The sequence below is a fragment of the Homo sapiens genome, chromosome 16 (assembly GCF_000001405.40).
Source record: "Homo sapiens chromosome 16, GRCh38.p14 Primary Assembly".
NCBI lineage: Eukaryota > Metazoa > Chordata > Mammalia > Primates > Hominidae > Homo > Homo sapiens.
In genome coordinates this window covers 12,788,369-12,802,812 of record NC_000016.10, presented here as the reverse complement: position 1 = coordinate 12,802,812, position 14,444 = coordinate 12,788,369, and the positions used below count along the sequence as shown (strand labels likewise).

General features: G+C 45.7%; 1 protein-coding gene across 2 annotated transcripts in view, besides 1 other annotated feature; it reads left to right on the top strand.

The window, feature by feature from the left end:
• Positions 1-14,444, top strand: part of CPPED1 (calcineurin like phosphoesterase domain containing 1) — a 144,089-nt gene that overhangs the window by 1,075 nt on the left and 128,570 nt on the right. The window lies entirely within an intron of this gene.
• Positions 667-746: an enhancer, noted in NCBI's record as "active region_10479". NCBI's record gives its function as "activates an Ori minimal core promoter by ATAC-STARR-seq in GM12878 lymphoblastoid cells {active_cell/tissue: GM12878}" and the evidence as "EXISTENCE:reporter gene assay evidence [ECO:0000049][PMID:35858748]".

Here is a 14,444-nt window from a genome sequence, read left to right as displayed (position 1 = left end):
TTGAACTGCATTTAAAAGGGCCAAGGCCGTTCTTTCCCTGAGGGTCTTGGCGCTTGCTGTTTTCTGCTTCTTTAGCAGGGTTGGTGAGCCTGGCTCTCTCAACCGTCACACCTCATTTTAAAGTTCATTCACTTCCTCAGAGACTTTACCTGCTACCTTATCTAAAGTAGGTTTCTCCGGTAATTCTATGGTAAAACCTTATTTATTCATTTAAGGCGGAGTCTTGCTTTATTGCCCAGGCTGGAGTGCAGTGGCACGATCTTGGCTCACTGTAACCTCCGCCTCCCGGGTTCAAGCGATTCTCCTGCCTCAGCCTCTGGAGTAGCTGGAACTATAGGCACGCACCACCACGCCCGGCTAATTTTGTATTTTTAGTAGAGATGGGGTTTCTCCATGTTGGCCAGGCTGGTCTCGAACTCACAACATCAGGTGATCCGCCGTCCTCAGCCTCCTAAAGTGCTGGGATTACAGACCTGAGCCACCGCGCCCGGCCTGGGACGACTGTATTTTAATGGACCTTGTCTTTTTTGTCCAACATGAAGATTTTGCTCTTTTCTTGCTGGGCAACATTCCATTGGATGATTATATACCTTATACATTCTGTTGATGTATATGCTGAATATCTTCCCTTTGCCTCTCCAAACCTTTCTCCCTTCCCCACCATGCCCCAGGGGTTTGCCCTCCGTGAGCTACATCGGTGGGCTCCTTGCCTTTTGGTTTTCCTTTGGGCTCAGCCAGTGGGGAGCCCTGAGAAGAAATCAGAGCAGGGAGAGAAGCAAAAGGCAGCTGTATTTATTCTTGCAGTTTACTCTGTGGGGTTGCCTCGCCTGGCTGTCTTCCTCCCCACCCCTGAAGGTCAAGGTCGCTCCTTTTCTCAGGACAGCTTTTCTCCTCATTCTCTCTAGTTCTGGATTTGAGTAACCATTTCCTCCTTTGAGGCGTGGGAGTGGCAGTGGTTCTGCTTTTCTAACCTTGGGTTACCACACTCCCTTGTAGGTTTCGTCCACCCAACCCCCACCAAGTAATCCCTTTTTAAACCCTTTTTAAAATCATCCTAATTTGAGAATGCCAACTATTTCCTGCAAGGATCCTGACTAATACAATGGCCATTTAGTTGTTTCTGGTTTTTGCCCTTGGTAACAGTGCTGTTATGAACATTCTGTACAAATCTCTTTGTGGACACATGGGAGAGTTACTCTGAGGCATATACCTACAAGCTATGTTCTGGGTTATAGGGTATAATCATCCCCAGCATTACTAGATGTGGTCAAACTGCCTTCCAAAGTGGTAGTGCCAATTTATACTCCCACCAGCAGTATATGAGAGTTCCCTGTTACTCTGCTGTATTATTTTTTTTTTCAGTTCAAGAAATATTTGTTGTGGGCTGGCTGCGGTGGCTCACGCCTATATATTTGTTGAGGGCCGGCCGCGGTGGCTCACGCCTGTAATCCCAGCACTTTGGGAGACTGAGGCGGGTGGATCACCTGAGGTCAGGAGTTCGAGACCAGCATGGTCAACATGGTGAAACTCCATCTGTACTAAAAATACAAAATTAGCTGGGTGTGGTGGCACATGCCTGTAGTCCTAGCTACTTGGGAGGCTATGGCAGGAGAATTGCCTGAGCCTGGGAAGCAGAAGTTGCAGTGAGCCGAGAATGTGCCACTGCACTCCACCCTGGACAACAGAGCAAGACTCCAGCTCAAAACAAACAAACAAAAAAACCGAAAGGAAATAAATATTTCTTATATTCCTATTGCACTGTCCAGTATGGTGGAGAATAGGAAGTTGGGGGCGGGGGAGTGGTTCAAGTTACATGCTCTCAGAGGCTTGTAATAATCCAGGTACAAAGCTAGGGCACAAAAAATAATGCTTGGCTACTGGTGGGCTCTGAGGTCATTCACGCAGGGTTTCCCTGAGGAAGTGTTGCTTCGTCTGATTGCTAAAAGAGGAGTATGAGTTAACTGGGCCACGAAGGGAGGGAAGACCATGTGGACCATGGGCAGAGCAAGTGTGAGAGTCCTAGGACATGGCAGGATGGGAAAGGGAAGGATGAGGGCTGAAGGAAGTCTCTGAGTCTGGAGCAGAAAGATGAGGTTGGGACATGGTGTGGGCTGAGGCTGGAGAGGGAGGTGGTGGTAACTAAGGATTTTTGTCGTGTCCTAATAGCATCAAGAGGTTTCAAGCTGGATGTGTGAGGAAGCAAGGATGTATGATCAGATTTTTATTTTGAAAAGAGTGGTCTGATTGCAGCAATGGCAACAAAAGCATTTCTACTTTAGAGCAACTTGGGATGCAATCCAGTTGGAAGCTGGAGCTCAAGGATTTGTCCAGAGGCTGCATTTCTGTAGTCCCCCATGGTTTACTTTTTTTTTTTTTTTTTTGAGACAGAGTCTAGCTCTGTCACCCAGACTGCAGTGCAGTGATGCTACTCACTGCAACCTCCACCTCCCACGTTCAAACGATTCTCCTGCTTCAGCCTCCCGAGTAGCTGGGATTACAGGCATGTACCACCATGCCCGCTAATTTTTGTGTTTTTAGTAGAGACAGGGTTTCGCCATGTTGGCCAGGCTGGTCTGGGACTCCTGACCTCAGGCACCTCGGCCTCCCAAAGTGCTGGGATTTACAGGCATGAGCCACCGCACTTGGCCCCCATTGTTTACTTTGAATGTGTTTATTTGCTGTAGCTGGAGGTGCCTATTGGGCACGGGGTGTCTTTCAGTGGAGATGGTGGGAGTGCTGAGGTATAGTAGCTTCCTAGGCCATTGCAGCTGCCAGGGGGCCACCACTGGGACCAGAGGATCAGAGAGCAGCTCCCCTGGATAAGAATGGGGATGCTGGAGAGAGACTTGATGATAAATCTATAAGATACCTACCCTGCTGATAGGAGGAGAGAGTGACTCTGAACTTTTCTTAGCCCCGAGTAAATCTAGAAGTGGGGCCAGCACTTGATCTCCTCTGTGAGCCATGCAGTCCCATAGACACACCCAGGATGGGTCATTTAACGGAGGGCCTAGAGAGGCCCAGCCTCAGAGTGTTCTGCTGAGAACCCCAGGTTTGTGGGTTCACATTACTAGGTGCTGAACCCTAGCCTACCATTGCTGCTTCCATTGCACTCATTGACAATTCCCCGGGGTCCTGACTCTATTAGCATCGCTGGCAACTTGGAGAGGTGCCCTTAGAGGCATCAGAGGCCTCTCCAGACTCCTTGGGAAGCCAGTAGATTTGCCCCTTGGGCAGACTGAGAAAGTTAAAGAACTAGCTTTTCGAGGCTGGGAGCAGTGGCTTACGCCTGTAATTCCTGCACTTTGGGAGGCCGAGGCAGGTGGATTGCTTGAGGCCAGGAGTTTAAGACCAGTCTGGCCAACATGGCGAAACCCCATCTCTACTAAAATTAAAAAAATTAGCCGGGTGTGGTGGCAGGCACCTGTAATCCCAGCTACTTGGGAGGCTGAGGCAGGAGAATCACTTGAACCTGAGAGGCGGAGGTTGCAGTAAGCCAAGATTGCCCGCTGCACTCTAGCCTAGGAGACAGAGTGATGACTGTGTCTCAAAAAAAAAAAAAAAAAAAACTGACTTTTCCCCTTCTCTTGCCAAAACACACACCATCAAAGGGGTTTGATTAACTCAAGCAACAGTCCCTAAAAATCACAGCTCTGAACCCTTCACCTTTGCTGCAGAATCAGCTCATTGAGCAGTTTGTTTTCCAAGTGTAGCCTGCCAATTAAATGAAAGAGCGCTTTGCTTTAAGACCCATTTCCTCCCACCGGTGATTTACGTGAGTAACAGTATTCCCATCAACTCCTTCCAGTAGTGGTATGTGTGACACTTGGTTTCAGTCATCCGTTCCCTGTTAACATAATGTGCTAGGCTCTGTTGACGGATGTTGATTAAAAAAAATTGTACATGTCTCACCTGAGAAAGCTCACATTCCTAAGGCATGTTCAGATATTCATTTTAATTAGGCAAATTGATAATTAGGTTTTCTTGACACATATCCTAATTAGGACTACTTTCTTCTAGTAATTGTCTTTTGAGAAGTTTATGGCTTCTGTTTTGAAGAAATCCTAAAAGGGAGAGAGATCAAGATAAAATATGCTTTTAAAGTGACTTAATTATTTTTAGGTCTGAATCTGTTTTTCCAGTTTGATATTTTCCCTTCAGAGAACTGGACTAATGGGTGGTATTCTTAAAAAGATTATTTTCCCAGACATTTCATTCCTAAGAAGCTGATGGAATTTGCTAATCCTGAATCTTTCCTTGTACTCTCTGGAAAACTTCTCCCTTGGCAGAGAATAGTGTCAGTAAAAAAATAACTCACTCTGTCTCTTGCAGGTCTCACCTAAGAACTTTTCTAGAAATAGTAGACCTGGAAAGGTATCTCCAAGTTTGAACAAAGTTGAAAATATTGTGGTTTTAAAAATTCTAACAGGATGATGATGATGAAATAAATGCTTTAAATTGTGCCATACATTTAGGCCAAACTAGTTATCTCTTATTTGAGATATATTTGAAGGTCCTCTTATTTGAGAGTTCCTGTGAGTAAATAGGGCTTATGATTACTTTCTCAACTCTTTGTTGTAATCATCAGTCAAGGGATAGAGTGACCAGCACACATATGTAAAAAGTTTGCACTATAACATTTCCAGAAAACACAATTAATTTTATTTTTGAATGTCGGGGTTTTTCATTTTCAAAAATTTATTTATTTATTTATTGTATTTTATTTCTTTTGAGGTGGTCTTGCTCTGTCACCCAGGCTGGAGTACAGTGGTGTGATCATGGCTGATTTGCAGCCTCAACCTGTGGTGCTTAAGTGATCCTCCCACCTCAGCCTCCTGAGTAGCTGAGACTACAGGCGTGCACCACCATGCCTGGCTAATTTTTAAGTATTTTTTTGTAGAGACAAGGTCTTACTGTGTTGTCCAGGCTGGTCTTGAACTCCTGAACTGAAGCTATCCTCCCACCTCAGCCTCCCAAACTGTTAGGACAAGCTTGTCCAACCCATGGTCTGCTGGCCACATGTGGCCCAGGATGGCTTTGAATGTGTCCCAGCACAAATTCCTAAACTTTCTTAAAAGTTCGGAATTTTTTGCCATTTTTTTTTCAAGCTCATCAGCTATCATTAATGTTAGTGTATTTCATGTGTGGCCCAAGACAGTTCTTCCGTTGTGGCCCAGGAAAGCCAAAAGATTGGAAATCCCTGTGCTAGGATTACAGGTGTGAGCCACTGGGCCTTGCCTGCTTTAAAATTTTTTTTGGAGACAGGGTCTTACTCTGTCACCTATGCTGGAGTGCAGTGGCATGATCTCCGCCCACTGCAGCCTCCCCCTCCTGGGCTCAAGCCATGCTCGATCCTCCCACCTCCACCTCCTGAGTAGCTAGGAACAGAGAAGGTGCTACCACGCCTGGCTGATTTTTATATTTTTTGTAGAGACAGTTTCGCTGTGTCACTCAGGTTAGTCTTGAACTCTTGGACCCGAGCAATCCTCCTGCCTTAGCCTCCAAAAGTGCTGGGATTACAGGCATGAGCCACCGCACCTGGCCTAAATTTTTTTAATAACTTTCTTGAGGTATAATTTATGTACCATAACATGCATTTTAAGTTTACAACTCAAGGGATTTTATTAACTTTAGAGTGGTGTAGTCACAATCTAACTTTAGCACATCTCTACCTTCCCAAAAAAGTGGTTTTATACCCACTTGCAAGTCTCTTCATGTTGCCACTCCCAGCACAGGCAACTGCTAATTTACCTCCATAGATGGGCCTTTTCCGGACATTTCATGTTAATGGAAAAATATGTGGTCTTTTGTGACTGGCCTCTTTGTGGTAGCATAAGGTTTCTGAGGCTCACTTATTTTGTAGCTTGAACCAATACTTTGTTCCTTTTTACTAAATGATATTCCATTGTATAGATAACCCATTTTGTTTATCCGACCACCTATTGATAAACATTTGGACATTTTTTTTTTGACACTGATGGACATTTCACGCATCTGGGTACCTCTTGTCTATTGGGAATAAAGCTGCTATGAACAGTCACAGACACATCTTCTTAAGGGTATTTGTTCTCATATCTTTTGGGTAGATACCTAGGATTGGAATTGCTGAGTCATACGGTAACTATGTTTAATATTTTGAGGAACCACCAAACTATTTTCCAAAGCAGATGCGCCATTTTACATTCCCACCAGCAGTGTATATGGGTTCCAGTTTCTCCATATCCTTGCCAACATTTCTTATTGCCACTCTTTTTTATTATAACCATCCAAATCGGTGTGAAGTAGTATCTCATTGTGAGTTTTTTTTGTTGTTTTTTTGAGACAGAGTCTCACTCTGTCGCCCAGGCTGGAGTGCAGTGGCATGATCTCGGCTCACTGCAAGCTTTGCCTCCTGGATTCAAGCGATTCTCCTGCCTCAGACTCCCAAGTAGCTGGGATTTCAGGTGCACACAACCACACCTGGCTAATTTTTGTATTTTTTAGTAGAGATGGGGTTTCACCGTGTTGGCCAGGCTGGTCTGGAACTCCTGACCTCAGGTAATCCACTTGCCTCAGCCTCCCAAAGTGCTGGGATTACAGGCATGAGCCACAGTGCCTGGCCAGTTGTATGTTTCTTCTTGTGACTTTGCTGTCTTTTTCTACCTGTACACTATAAATTCTTGAGGAGCAAGAAGCCCAGACCTAGGATGGTGTCTAGCAGTAGTAGACACTCAGTGGCTTTTTTTTTTTTAAGACAAAGTCTTGCTCTATCGCCCAGGCTAGAGTGCAGTGGCGTGATCTTGGCTCACTGCAACCTCTGCTTCCTGGGTTCAAGTGATTCTCCTGCCTCGGACTCCCAAGTAGCTGGGACTACAGGTGCATGCCACTGCACCTGGCTAATTTTTGTGTTTTGGTAGAGATGGGATTTTACCATGTTGGCCAGGCTGGTCTTGAATTCCTGACCTCAAGTGAACTGCCCACCTTGGCCTCTTGAAGTGCTGGGATTACAGGCCTAAGCCACCACGCCTGGCCTCAGTGACCATTTAATATTGAGTAAATGGATGAGTATGAATGAATACACTCCACCTGGGTCACCTGGGTGTATCTGTCCAACCCACTGCTCTCATGTACCATGGAGTCTCCGGACTAAACAAAGCTGAGACCAAGGTGTTGATCAAACCAATAGAAGTTGTTGGCTGGGTACAGTGGCTCACGCCTGTAATCCTAACACTTTGGGAGGCTGAGGCGAGTGGATCGCTTGAGGTCAGGAGTTTGAGACCAGCCTGGCCAACATGGTGAAACCCCATCTGTACTAAAAATACAATGATTAGCTGAGCATGGTGGCTGGCACCTGTAATCCTAGCTACTCTGGAGGCTGAGGCAGGAGAACTGCATGCGCCTGGGAGGCGGAGTTTGCAGTGAGCCAAGATCATGCCACTGTACTCCAGGCTGGGCCACAGAGCGAGACTCTGAAAAAAAAAAAAGTTGCATGACTACACCAGGTGGCTGTGCACTGTGTGCACTACTCCAGAGCATCTAGAGGCAGAGGTTTTGCCTACCAGGTGGGTGCCCTCACATGGAGCACATCTGCCCGGGGGAAGGGTTACCTTCTCTTTGCATCTGGGGCTTCTGTTAGCCTGGCCATGTGCCTACACAGCTGCTTCTGCCCAGAGAAGGCGCCTTCTACCAGTTCTTCCCAGAGTGCTGCCTGGGACAGCAGCTGCCTGCTGTCTTGTTAGGGAAATGGGAAAAAAAATAACAGCAAATATCCACCAAAACCAGGCAAACCCCAAGTGGAGTTCTGCTCTTGAAAAGTGAGAGAGGTTCTGGAAATGTCTTTTCCCCTCTTTAACCGTTGTCTCGAATGGCGTCAGCCAAAGCCAGTGATGCCAAAAGCCGCCTGGCCACGAAGTCCCAGCCCATCTGCTTTCTTAGTTCTCTGAAGAGTTGCAGATAAAGATTTTGGAAGGACGGCCATTGTGGCAGCCAAGCCATGACTCAGAATCTTTTGTGTGTCTCAAAAACTGCCTTTTGGATGCATTTAGGCCAAGAAAAGAGAGGTTGGGTAAATTTACCTTTGTACAGGTTGAGCATCCCTATTGCAAAATGCTCTAAGATCCGACCGAAACTTTTTGAGCACTGACTTGATGATCAAAGGTCATGCTCAAAAGCATTTCGGATTTCAGATTTTACAGATTAGGAATGCACTACCAGTTTGCATATGCAAATGTTCCAAAATCTGAAAAAAGTCTGGAATCTGAAACTCTTCTGGTCCCAAGCATTTCAGATAAGAGATATGCAACCTGTACTTAGGACAAGTCATTTGGAGACTCTTGAGGATATTGCTGTCACAGTTAATTATTTTGGGGGTGGGGGGAGGGACAGGGTCCTGAAGGACACTATTTTTTTTTTTTCCTTTAACAACTGTTAGCATACCCTACAGTTCACCATGTGAATTGTTAATTAAATAATATTTACCACTTTGGGCTTCTTTCTGATTCAACAGTGTAAATGTGTACAATTCAGTGGCTTTTAGTGTATTCACAGAGGTGTACAACCATCACAATCAATTTTAGAACATTTTCCTTAATCCAAGAAGAAACCCTGCACCCCGTGCTGAAACTGCCCCCAAAGACCCCCAACCCCTAAACAGCCACTAATGAAGGACACTCTTATCTGCTGCATACCATTCTGGCAGCTTCACAGTGGGGACATTACGATTGTTAAGTCAGAAAGAGTCCCAAAGTGGTAAATATTGTTTAGCTACTCTTTGGTGTGTGATTTTTTTTTTTAAACTGCTGAAATAAGATTAGTCCCCAGAGCAGTTGAAGGGTATTGCTGGAGACATTTAGATTGTGATTCACTATGCAGATTGCTATTGTGAGAAACTGCAAAAATTGCATTTTGTTGCCATTTGCTCTTTAGCTAGAAAGCCTGCAGGCGGCTGTGAAGCTTCCCATCTTTCCTGCTTTATAACCAAAGCAATATCCACAGTATATAAAGGAAAAGATGTTAAGACCAAAGCATGTAAATATATATGTGTCTCTCATCAGATGTTTTCTCAGCCCCACCATGTGCTGTGGGAACCAAGAGATAGGTGAGTCTTTAAAAAGCCTGTCTCTGCTAAGATAAGGGTAGGGGTTACTGTGAATGGTAGTCATGGCACGAGTAACTCACTTTTGACCACTTGCTCTGTGTCTAGTCCAAATGCTTTACATGTTTTAAGTCATTAATTCTTCTCAACAACCCTTTTGAGGTAGGAGCTGTTATTCCTACTGTGCAGATAAGGAGACTGAGTCCCAGAGAGGTTCAGGAACTTGCATCATGTCACGTAGCTGGTAAAGGGTAGAAATGGGAGTTGAACTTGGGCACTCAGGCCTCAGTCTGAGCTCCACTGGAACTCAGTTAAGGGTTTCAGGAGATAGAGGCCCAAAGTCTGTTGTCAGCATGGTCTATCCCCGCCTCCCGCTCCAGCCTTCTGGTGACTTAGGGTCTGGGTACTTGCAGTGCCCCCTCCCTGGAGCGCGTCTCCACAGCCCCACCCACTGGCCACTCTGTCTTGCAATCAGCCTGATGACCCTGCAGTTGTAAAGAGCGAAGTGTGTAATTGACTTGTGTAACTAACTTAGTTATTTGCTTGTTTGTTGTGCATCTCCCCCGCTATCGTGTAAGGTTTTAAGGAACAGGATCCATCAGCATTGCTCACTGTTGAATGTCCAACCACTGACAGCCAGTGCCATAGAGCAGGTGCTCAGAACATACCTGCTTGAATGAGTGAAGGAGGCCAAGCTGCATCTGCCTACAGGGCAGGGAGCATTTGAGCTGGCAGGGAAGGGTAGAAGGGATTTCAGCAGGAAGAGTTGGTGGAATGGAGAGCGTATACCAGAAAGAGGAGGGGAAGTGTACTAATCCGTTCTCATGCTGCTAATAAAGACAGACCCAAGACTGGGTAATTTATAAAGGAAAGAGGTTTAATGGACTGACACTTCACATGGCTGGGGAGGCCTCACAATCATGGGGGAAGACAAAGGAAGAGCAAAGGCATGTCTTACATGGTGGCAGGCAAGAGAGCGTGTGCAGGGGAACTGCGCTTTATAAAACCATCAGATCTCGTGAGACTTATTCACTATCATGCGAACAGCATGGGAAAGACCAGCCCCCATGATTCAGTTACCTCCCACCAGGTCCTTCCCATGACATGTGGGAATTATGGGAGCTACAATTCAAGATGAGATTTGGGTGGGGACACAGCCAAACCATATCAGGAAGTATAGGGTGTGTTGGAGAAGCAGATAGTGGTCTATCTGGGGGGATTCCTGTGGTATGTCTTAAACAGGGTTTTTCAACCCCCCAGCATTGTTGATGTTTATGGGCTGGATTTTGTTGTGGGTTCCTGTCCTGTGCATTATGAGATGTTTAGCAGCATCTCCAGCCTTTATCCACTGGATTCCAGCAGCACCACCCACTTCCCAGTGTGATACCTCAAAATGTCTGTAGACATTGTTATGTGTCAGAATCATCCCTGGTCTGATGGGACTACAGCCACTGGTCCATCAGGACCAGTGAGATACAGCTGGAAGAGGCCAGGCATAGCGGTTCAGGCCTGTAATCCCAGCACTTTGGGAGGCTGAGGCAAGTGGATCACTTGAAGTCAGGAGTTTGAGACCAGTCTGGCCAACATGGTGAAACCTCATCTCTACTAAAAATACAAAACATTAGCTGGGTGTGGTGGCGCACTCCTGTAATCTCAGTTGTTCAGGAGGCTGAGGCAGGAGAATTGCTTGAACCTGGGGGACGGAGGTTGCTTTGAGCCAAGATCGTGCCACTGCATTTCAGCCTGGGGGACAGATCAAGACTCCATCTCAAAAAAAAAAAAAGATACCGCTGGAAGAACTTTGGGCCCCTTTAGGCCCAAGTGCTAGAATGAGTGGATGAGTGGGGATCCATTGATGTCTTCATCCATTTCTTCACCAAATATTGACTGATGCCTGCCACGTGCCAGACTCAATAATAAAAGCTGCTGATATGCCAGAAAGGGAATGCAAACGTGGGCCTGCCCTGGAGCTTTCAGGATGGTGGCTCTGTAGCCAGGAATTTGATGATCTGGTTAAGGGGTTGGGAAGAGACATAATGGCAGCAACTGCCTGAGATGGACTGGAGTAGGGAGAGCTGCAGGGAGCCATCCTGCCAGCCTCCTTCTCCCAGGTGGGAACCATGAATACCTGGCCCAAGAGTAGTTGGTGATGGGAACGGTAAGGTGGGGCTGCTGCAGGGATGTTGTAGACGTGGAATGATGCAACTTGGCTGTCTACATGCACAGGATGACACATGATCTTAAGATCTGTAGACTGGGGGACTAGGGATGATGGTGGCAAAATTAGCAAGATCTAGGGAGGGAGCCAGTCTTAAAGAAAGATGTGCAGCCATAGAAAAGAATGAGCTCATGTCCTTTGCAGGGACACAGATGAAGCTAGAAGCCATCATTCTCAGCAAACTAACACAGGAACAGAAAACCAAACACCGCATGTTCTCACTCATAAGCAGGAGTTGAACAATGAGAACACTTGGACACAGGGAGGGGAACATCACACACCAGGGCCTGTTGGGAGGTCGGGGGCAAGGGGAGGGAGAGCATTAGGACAAATACCTAATGCATGCGGGGCTTAAAACCTAGAGGACGGGTTGATGGGGCAGCAGACCACCATGGCACATGTATACCTATGTAACAAACCTGCGTGTTCTGCACATGTATCCCAGAACTTAAAGTAAAATTAAAAAAAAAAAAAAGATGATGGATTTGCCTGTGGAAGTGTTGAATTTAAGATCCTGATGGGACAAGCTGGGAGCTTGGACATGTCCAGAAAAACAGACATACTAATACTATGTTCTACTCTTTTTTTTTTTTTTTTTTTTTTGAGATAGAGTCTTGCTCTATCACCAGGCTGGAGTGCAGTGGTGTGATCTGCAGCCTCCGCCTCCAAGGTTCAAGCAATTCTCCTGCCTCAGCCTCCCGAGTTGCTGGGACTACAGGTGCATGCCACCATGCCTGGCTAATTTTTATATTTTTAGTAGAGATGGGGTTTCACCATGTTGGCCAGGATGGTCTCGATCTCTTGACCTCATGATCCAACCCCCGCCCCGCCACTCGGCCTCCCAAAGTGCTAGGATTACAGGCGTGAGCCACCGCGACCGGCCAATGTGACTTTTCTTATGAAAATCAAGTTAAGAAAGCTATTTATCATTGTATTCTACCGTGAATTATTTGAGGTTGCATACAAGTAACAGGTTTAGCACATCATGAGAGCAGAAATTATTATAATGTTAGGTATTACTTAATAACGTGGCTGGCCCCCAGGCCTTTTCCTAGTTGAGTGATGAAAACAGTGATTCATTTGCTTTTGGGGGCACCTTCATTATAGTTAGTCATTGCTTAACTGGTAATAGTGAAAAAATCAATAAAATTTCTAATTCTTGGTATATATTAAAAAGTCAGCTTTCATTAACATTGACAAATATGCCTAAAAGGGATAATAAAAATGAGAGAGGAAATGTATTAGCAGAGACAAATCCAAGAAAACATTTAGTTTGTGATTTTAAAAGTTCAGCGGTAAAGAGCAATTGCAATTTGAATATCTGTCTTTCAGGCAGGATATTGGCACATAAACAGAGGCTCATAGGAAAGATTAATGGTAAAGCATTGCGTGAATTCTTCCAGGTTTTTAAGATTCTTCTCTGAGTGCAATTGCTTTGCACCTGATAATGTTTAAAGAAAACCTACAGGCCTTTCTGTCCTTAGCTTGATATTACCCAAAATTCACTGTGTATTTATCCCTCAGTTTTGAAATATGGTTTCTGTGACAGTCTTTTATAAGTTAGCCGAAATGTGGAAGTGGCCAGATCTTGTTATTCTCTATACAACAGGTGACTCTGATTTCTAAGGTCAATTTTTCATTTAAAAGTGTTTCAAAGTTAATTTTATAATTCGATTTAGAAAATTATGGCAACCAGGCTGGATGCAGTGGCTCATGGCTGTAATCCTAGCACCTTGGGAGGTCAAGGTGAGCTGATCACTCGAGCTCAGGAGTTCTAGACCAGCCTGGGCAACATGGTAAAACCCCGTCTCTACCAAAAATACAAAAAATTAACCAGGCATGGTGTCGCGCACCTGTGCTCCCGTCGACTCCAGAGGCTGACGTGGGAGGATCACTTGAGCCCGGGAAGTGGAAGTTGCAGTGAACCAAGGTCATGCCACTGCACTCCAACCTGGGTGACAGAGTGAGACCCCATTAAAAAAAATTATGGTAACTCATTAGCTTATTTTTCTTTTTTCCTGGCTTGTTGTTTGGCTAGACCTAGGCATTCCTGGCTTGGATATGTCTTCTCTATAGTAATTTCAGCTGTCCTGAAATGTGGGCGAGTGATGTCTGTGGCAGAATTTGCAAAGGTGGGGGCCTGGTTTGCCCCTTAGCCTTTGTAGATTTCAGTCAATGTATTTTCCTTTGCTGGGTCTCCTCTTCCTCACCTCTAAGCAAAATGGAAAGATTACCATAGATAAGGGTTTGTCATTGCAGATGCCAACAGCAGCCAGGTGGTAAATTGGGCCAGGTGGGGACTGTGGCAAATTTGAGAGCACAAACCCCATGTGAAGGCACAACCACTGTACAGACCCAGAGAGTCACTAGCATGCTTCATTTGGGTCTGATGTGGCCAGATTTTCCAAGAGAATCCAGAAAGCCAGGTATATTTATGAAACTCATGAATTAAAAAGGTTGGCAACAAATTCAGAAGTTTATAAACGCTGCCTGGGCCCAACAGCACACATCTGCTAAGCAGACCTCATCCACAGACGTCGAGTTTGTAATCTCTGGAAGAGATCACCACTGAGCACTCACAGGAGACAGATGTCTGGGTCCCCGCCTGTGCCTCAAATCAACCCTGTGCTATTGGCAGGGACCCTGAACATCACGGCCGACCAGGGAAAAGCTCTGGGTCTTGCCATCATTGTCTTTGTGTACAGCCCATTTATCAAGACGTTCCATTTGAAGGAAACTTTTTGGAGAGAAGATGTCAGTATTGAGGTGGATAACTTGAGGGAAGCCCAGAGCATGTTCTGTCTTCATCATGGCTCTCACCACTCCAGGCCATCCAGCCCAGCAGCACTGAGGTTCTGAATAGCTCTTGGGTAGAAGTTGCTGGGTCTTTATTGTGTGACCTTGAACTTGAGGCATGCCTAAGCCCCATCTCCCTTCCCCCTCACTACCCAGACCTCAGCATCTCCCCCTTGGTTTAATGAAAGGCTGGTTACAGTAACTCTGAGAGTCCTTCCAGCACTGACAATTTCTAGTACTTAGGTAGGAAAAGGCGGGCTTCTGTGAGTTAAGCCTTCTGATCTCACCAGGATGAGCTACAATAAATGGCCTTATTGAGTGCAGTACTGGAAGGTCAGGTACAAATGTGACATTAAC